The sequence below is a fragment of the Homo sapiens genome, chromosome 17 (assembly GCF_000001405.40).
Source record: "Homo sapiens chromosome 17, GRCh38.p14 Primary Assembly".
In the NCBI taxonomy this organism is placed as follows: Eukaryota; Metazoa; Chordata; class Mammalia; order Primates; family Hominidae; genus Homo; species Homo sapiens.
The window spans coordinates 48,018,373-48,026,166 of record NC_000017.11 but is presented as its reverse complement, the minus strand read 5'-3'; the positions used below and the strand labels follow the sequence as shown (position 1 = coordinate 48,026,166).

Below are 7,794 nucleotides of genomic sequence, written 5' to 3'. Positions count from 1 at the left end.
GGGTCTCCTTCTCTCTTGGCCTAGGAAGTGTGTGTGTGTGTGTGTGTTCATATAAGGGCTCCTGCACTTTCTGTGGCTCATCGTGGGGATATCCAGTACCAGGGTGGGGCGTGTCCCTGTGGTTGTGTGATTGGGCAGAGATGTGGGACAAGGGAAAGGGGACTATTTAACACCATGAGGGGGTGCGACGCTGATACCACGGAGCCCCATGTGTGGCGCATACTGCCAGGTAGGGGAGAGCAAAATATGGTACCCCTATTTTGCAATGCAGTACATACATGGTAGCTCCGCTGGGGATTCCTTGAGTCATTTTTTCCATTCCCAAACTCCAGAAGGGAAGAGAGGTAAGGCTTCCTCTGAACAAACCGAGAAACAGCATGGCTATTTTTCTTGGCATGCCTGGAACCGTGGAATTCCTATCCTGGCATACATCCTGGGCACTACAGCTCTCTGCAAGCTTGCGGGTGGTGGGGGCGAGGAAGCATCGCCAGCCCCCACCGTGCACATGTGTCCTGAGCACCCTGTGCGCTGCAGAGGGTGTGAAGAATTGCAGGTCCGGAGGGACAGGAGGGTGAAAGGGTGTCGCAGGGACAAACGGGAAGGGTGGAGATTGTATAGCCTTTCTGGGCGACACGACTTCCCTTCTCTGTCGCCGTCCCAGAACCTGTTTTCTCCTTTCCACTCTCTGACGCGTACACTTTCTGCGTCCCTGTAAATGCGTCCCTGAGCTTGTCTAGCGTTGCGTCCCGGGACAGCTCGTTTCCCTCGATCCTTTGCGGACTGCAGCTGGTGGCTCACGTTCCACCCCGGCTCCACCCCGGCCCCGCCCCTGGAGTGCGCTGAGCACTGCGGGAAGCCCCGCCCCAGGAAAGCCCCGCCCCAGGAAAGCATCCGCGATCCTATGGTGCCACCTGCAGGGACCGGCAGGAAACGCGCTCCCGCCGGACCGACCTGCTGACTAACTCCGCCCCCAGGGCGGACCCGACTCCGGCTCCTGAGAGTTACTGGTTGGTTTCCGACGCCGGCGACAGGACGTTGCCCTAGCAACCTGCACGCGTGACCCACCCTGCTAGTGCTGCGCCAGCGTGGGCACAGGAATTTCAGCGAAGGAGGGAAAGTGGCGAGCCGTGGACCTTAATAGAAGTTGTCCCTGCGGCTTTCAAGTCCTACATTATAAAACTGTTTAAGATTGGACATTTATAACGGGCTTGACTACTTCTGCAATTAGAGAAAATGATATAGTTATGTAAACATTTACATTGTAAGCGCTGAGTACGTAACCCGTCCCAGTAAATAATGCAAAATGGCAACTCTTGGAAGGGGAGAAAAAAAAAGAGTATTCGGTTAAATTCCGTGGAGTTCAGGGGCTAGTATGGCGACAAGAAAGGAGACATTTTCCAGAAATATTTTGGCAAATATGCGGCCACACCCAGGGCTTGGCTTCCTCCACCACCCTTAAGCGACCGCAAGGAGGGACGGGCAAATGCGCTTCTTAGCAACGCGGTCGCGCCCGCCTCGGCCCTGCTATTCCAATGTAGCAGGGACGGGAATGTAAAGGGACAGGCAGGAGGCTGGGCCCTTCACACAAACTGGCTCACCGAATCCTGTGAATTACGCGATGCTCTCCCCATTTTACGGAAGGGAACACTGAGCCTCAGGTTGACGTGTTTGGTGTAGTTTTCGCAGGGCGGGGCTCCGGATGGGGAACTGCTGGGGACAAGTGGCTTTCTCGCGCATCCCTGCCCTAGGCCCATCCGAACCCCTGGCCCACACAGTAACCGTACTAGGTTAAAAGGAAGGGGCTGAGGGGGCATGGCAATGCCGAGAGGCGACCGGAAAGGTGTCCTCGCCCGCGATGGCTGAGGGATTGTGGGGAGCGGCGCGGCTGCGAAGCAGCCGACGGACCCACGCCGCGGCGGAGAGGACAGCGCAGAGCGGGCTGCGCAGCACTGCCAGAGGACCCGGGAGGGCCGGCAAGGAAGGGCGCTGCCCCTTCCAGAGGACCCTGAGTTTGCAGGCCCAGCTTTCCGGGGGCTGAGGCGGAGACCCCGCTGGGGGTGGAGGGCCGCCGGCTGCTGTGCCCCCAGCTCCCACGTGGCGCCCGCAGCTCGGCAGAGCCGCCAGGATGACAAGCCTGGCCTGCCGCCCAGAGTCCTGCCCGCTGGCACCGGCTTCCTCCAGACTGCCTCATTAGCGCTGCCACAGGCCGGAGCCGGCGGGCGCGGAGGGGAGCGCGGAGGACTGGTTTTCGGGAAGGGCGGCCGGCGGTTCCGTGCGGGAGAGCAGCCAGGGCCTGCCTTCCAGTGTCCTGCCATCCCCAGGGCCCCTCTGCATCTTTCTGCATTCCTCCACCCCCTTGCCCTCGTGGGCGACCCTGCGGGCCCCAAGTGTATAAGGGAAGGGGGCCTCAGGGCCTCTTCTTTCCTCCAGCAGAATGGGCACCGGGGCACGTCTGAAACCCAGACCCCAGGAGCCAGGGCCCAGCCAGACGGCACGCACAGAAACACCGGCCCGGGGGCTCTGGCACGGAACAGGACGCCAGCAACAAGCAGAGCCAACTGGGGGCGCAGAGGTAGCGCGGCCTGGCCCTCGGACCCCTTTTATACCACTTAGAGCCCCGCACGCCCCCTGCCTTCCGGCTATTGGCTGGCAGGAAGGCGGGGCTGCTCGGGTTGGCTGGCATTCAGGCGGTGATGGATGGCTCCCCGCTGGCGGGACCGCAGCCGGGCTGGGCGCTTTGCAGGGCTGCAAAGATTGGCGGGGGTGGGGCCAGCCAGGCCTGGGTGTGGGGTGCAGGGGGATGAGCAGGACACCGCCCGAGGCTCAAATTTTCTGTGCCCTTAACCACCCTTTGAAACTTTGCTATATAGCGGGGGAAAAAAAAAAAATCTTACCTCTAAATTCCTACTAGATACCCTTTAACTTTGGAGGCCGATGCAGGTAATGTTGAATAATTTACCCAAAACAGTCTGGGCACAACCTTACAGACCTCCATTTCCTTCCAATTTAGGTCTCATTCATTCAACAATATTTGTTTGTTGATTCATTATTTCAAATATTTGAGTGTTTGCCATGAGCCAGGCACTGGGGAAAGAAAGAGAGAGACTGATTAGACTCCGTAGTGGGGTGAGGGTGGAGGTTAAAAGGCAGGAAGGGATTTAAGAGATATTTGAAAGTAGAAACGCCTTTAAAAATCAAATGATGTTCTTTATCTTGATCTGAGTAGTAGTAAAAAGTCACAGGCCGGGCGCAGTGGCTCACACCTGTAATCCCAGCACTTTGGGGAGCTGAGGCGGGCGGATCACAAGGTCAGGAGTTCGAGACCAGCCTGACCAACATGGTGAAACCCCGTCTCTACTAAAAATACAAAAATTAGCCAGGCATGATGGCAGGTGCCTGTAATCCCAGCTACTGGGGGAGGCTGAGGCAGGAGAATTGCTTGAACCCGGAAGGCGGAGGTTGCAGTGAGCCGAGATCTTGCCATTGCAATCCAGCCTGGGCAACAAGAGTGAAACTCTGTCTCAAAAAAAAAAAAAAAAAAGTCACAGAGTTTACACTTAAGATATGTGCTCTTTCCTGTAGGTAAGTCATACTTCAATAAAAAAAAAAAGAAATTAATCGAATGGCTGCCAAATTATATTCTAGCATCAATGTGTGTATGGTCCTCATCTGTTTCCTAATCTCTTCCTCATCTCTATGAACAGAAACTGGTAAACATGTTAGATGAGTTTCTAAATAAATAAGAGTGTGAGACACATGTAAATTTTATACTGCACATATAGATTAACGCCATTCCTCAAAATGCACCCTTTGGTAAGAAAAGCAACGTTAATAATAATAATAAAATAAACTCTTTTGGAATGAATTCGTTCAACAGACATTTACTAACAGGCTGTTTCCAGGCCAGGTACCTTGCTGGGGATTGTTGGGAGCTTCTAAAATGAATTGGGAAACACAGTTCCTGACTCAAGGAGATTACAATTTGGCTGGGGACAAAGTCATGTATGCAGATAAGGAAATGATAAATATTCACAGAGGAAACGGTGTATTACATAACATGTAAAGAAGGAAGATGGGGAAAGAGACACCCCAAAGGGAGCAACAACATAAGCAAGGCCAGAGGTAAGGAATCTCCGTTTAGGCTGGGCGCAGTGGCTCATGCCTGTAATCTCAGCACTTAGGAAGGGTGAGACAGGCAGGTTGCTTGAGTCTGGGAGTTCGAGACCAGCCTGGGCAACATGGCAAAACCCTGCCTCTACAAAAAAAAAAAAAATTAGCTGGGTGTAGTGGTGTGTGCCTGTAGTCCCAGCTACTGGGGGGAGAGGGGGCACCGTGGGCTGAGGTGGAAGGATCACTTGAGTCCAGGAGGCTGAGGCTGCTGTGAGCTGAGATCATGCCACTGCACTCCAGCCTGGAGGACAGAGCAAGACCCTGTCTAAAAAAAAAAAAAAAAAAAAAAAAAAGAAAAAGAAAAAAAATCTCTGTATTGTTTAAGGAATTTCAGTAGGCAAATGTAACTGGAATGGTGTGTGTCTGCAGGGAGTGTGTTGAGATCTGAGGTTTCTTCTAGATAGGTTGCAACTGGGTCGCAGTGAGCAATGAATGCCATGCTGAAGAATGACTGCTATTTATTGAGTTTGCTACTATATACACCTTAAAATTACCATTGTCCTCAAAACAACCTAACAAAGTAGGTATTGATAGGCTCGCTGCAGCCTCAACCTCCGGGGCTCAAGCTATCCTCTTACCTCAGTCCCCCGAGTAGCTGGGACCACAGGCATGTACCACCACACCCAGCTAATTTTTAAAAATTTTTTAATAGACACGAGGTCTCACCATGTTGCCCAGGCTGGTCTCAAACTCCTGAGCTCAAGCGATCTGTCCACTTTGGCCTCCCAAAGTGTTGGGTATACCGCGCCTGGCCCGTTAGCCTTCTTTTTACAAATGAGAGAGCTGAGAGTCTGAGAGACTGAATAACTTGCCTCAGAGCTCATAGGTGGGATTTAAACCCATTCTGGTCTGACTCCATTGCTGGCTCTTCTTTACCCCAACCACAGAGCTAAAGAACTTGGCTTGTGGCCAGTCGCCATGGCTCACACCTGTAATCCCAGTACTTTGGGAGGACAAGGTGGGTGGATCACCTGAGATCGAGACCAGCCCGACCAACATGGAGAAACCCTGTCTCTACTAAAAATACAAAATTAGCAGGGTGTGGTGGTGCATGCCTGTAATCCCAGCTACTCGGGAGGCTGAGGCAGGAGAATCGCTTGAACCCAGGAGGCAGAGGTTTCGGTGAGCCAAGATCGTGCCATTACACTTCAGCCTGGGCAACAAGAACGAAACTCCATCTCAAAAAAACAAAACAAAACAAAACAAAAAGTCAGTAAAGAACTTGGCCTGTGTTCTGAAGGTAATAGGGAACCACTGAAGATTTTCAAGCTGTTAAGTGATATCAGCTCTATGTTTTGAGGGAGGAACTCTGCTAGCAACATGGAACCTGGGTTAAAGAAGAGAACAGGAATTCAGGGTCAATTTATGACCCCCAAAACGAAATATTTTCATTACAGTCACTTCTCATTCTTGATCTAAAACAGTACCACCCAGCTTGATTGCTGATCTTACTCACCAAGCAGCTTGCAAAAATCAAGTCCACTCTCAGAATTTGAAGAGTTGGTGCTTGAATTAATTCAGATAATTGCAGGCAATCATTCCAAAAAAGGCCCTCCAAAAGGACCATTTTGTCAGGGACAATGATCTGAATATTTAGGTTCTGAAAAGTATGTTTAAAAATAACAAGTCGGCCGGGCACGGTGGCTCATGCCTGTGATCCCAGCACTTTGGGAGGCCAAGGCAGGTGGATCACAAGGTCAGGAGTTCAAGACCAGCCTGGCCAAGATGGTGAAACCCCCGTCTCTACTAAAAATACAAAAAAAAAAAAAAAAAAAATTAGCCAGGCATGGTGGCAGGTGCCTGTAATTCCAGCTACTCGGGAGGCTGAGGCAGGAGAATTGCTTGAACCCGGGAGGTGGAGGTTTCAGTGAGCTGAGATTGCACCATTGCACTCCAGCCTGGGCAACAAGAGCGAAACTCCGTCTCAAAAAAACAAAAAACAAACAAACAAAAAAAAACACAAGTCTACTTTATATCTTATATATTTAGTGCCCTCTTATCACTCTCACGTACCCCACTCTGAAAATAGACACATACACTTCAAATGAAAGAAAAAGAAGTAGCAAGAGGGATCTGATTCCATTTGACCAGATCCACAATTTCTCTTTGTCTAGACATCTGATTTTTTTTTTTTTTTTTTGAGACTGGGTCTTGCTCTGTCACCCAGCCTGGAGTGCAGTGGCATGAATACGGTTCACTGCAGCCTTGATTTCCTGGGGAGAAGTGATCCTCCTACTTCAGCTTCCCATGTAGCTTGGACTATAGGTGCACACCACGACACCTTGCTTTTTTTTTTTTTGCTTTTTTTTTTTTGGTAGGGAGATGGGGGTCTCACTTTGTTGTCCAGGCTGTTCTCAAACTCCTGGGCTCAAGTGATCCTCCTGCCTCAGCCTCCCAAAGTGCTGGGATTACAGGATTGAGCCGCCATGCCTAGCCTTTTTTTTTTTTCCTAAGGGACAGAGTTTTGCTCTGTCGCCTAGGTTGGAGTACAGTGGCGTGATCATGGCTCACTGCAGCCTCAACCTCCAGGTAGCTGGGACTACAGGCACATGCCACCACACCCGGCTAATTTTTTGTTTATTGTAGAGACAGGATTTTGCCATGTTGCCCAGGCTGGTCTTGAACTCCTGGACTCAAGCGATCCACCCAAGTCAGCCTCCCAAAGTGCTGGGATTACAGGCATGAGCCATCACAGCCAATCCAGACACCTGATTTTTAAGAGATTGAAAATATGTGTTTTACTCTCATGGCTGCCAGTGAGCCCTCATCTGAAACAAACAAACAAATAAACTTGAGGATAGAAGAAAACTCTGGAAGTGATGAGGCTATAACCTTGCTTCCAGACAACAGCTTCTTAGTGAGTGACAGGGTGTTCTGGGGTGGGGATATATGGGGTGAGTAGGTGAGGACTCAGGTTCTGGGTGGAATGATTGGAAGACTGGTTTCAGCTGCTTACCATTCCTAGCAGCCTTGTGTTTGGAAGGTTGGAGGGCTCTTGGAACATCCTCTCCTAAGAGATGGCTGGAAAAGTCCAGAATTAATTTATCTTGGGGAAACAGGTAAGATAAAAACTTCTGGAATCGGCCGGGCGTGGTGGCTCACACCTGTAATCCCAGCACTTTGGGAGGCCGAGGTGGGCAGATCACGAGGTCAGAAGTTTGAGACAAGCCTGACCAACATGGTGAAACCCCGTCTCTACTAAAAATACAAAAATTAGCTGGGCATAGTGACGTGCGCCTCTGGTCCCAGCTACTCAGAGGCTGAGGCAGGAGAATCGCTTGAACCCGGGAGATGGAAGTTGCAGTGAGCCAAGATCGCACCACTGCACTCCAGCCCTGGGTGACAGAGCGAGACTCCATCTCAAACAAACAAACAAACAAAACTTCTGGGACCCAAAGTCCCCCAAAATCTCAGTGTTCTCCAGATGGCAGCAAGAAGAAGTAGCTCTCACAGGTTTGCCCAGAAGATGGTGCTGTAAGACAAGCCCCTCTTTCATCCTTAGCCTGGCCGGGATCAGTGACGGGACTATGAAAAGGCTTGCAGGAACCAGACCTAGAGGGCATCTCTACTCTCTATTGGGCAGGAGTTATCTCACAGTGCTGAGCATTGCAGTCCATTCCTAGA

At 51.1% G+C, this 7,794-nt stretch overlaps 1 annotated feature.

Annotated features, from left to right (window-relative positions):
* Positions 1,665-1,794: a silencer, noted in NCBI's record as "silent region_8647". NCBI's record gives its function as "represses an Ori minimal core promoter by ATAC-STARR-seq in GM12878 lymphoblastoid cells {active_cell/tissue: GM12878}" and the evidence as "EXISTENCE:reporter gene assay evidence [ECO:0000049][PMID:35858748]".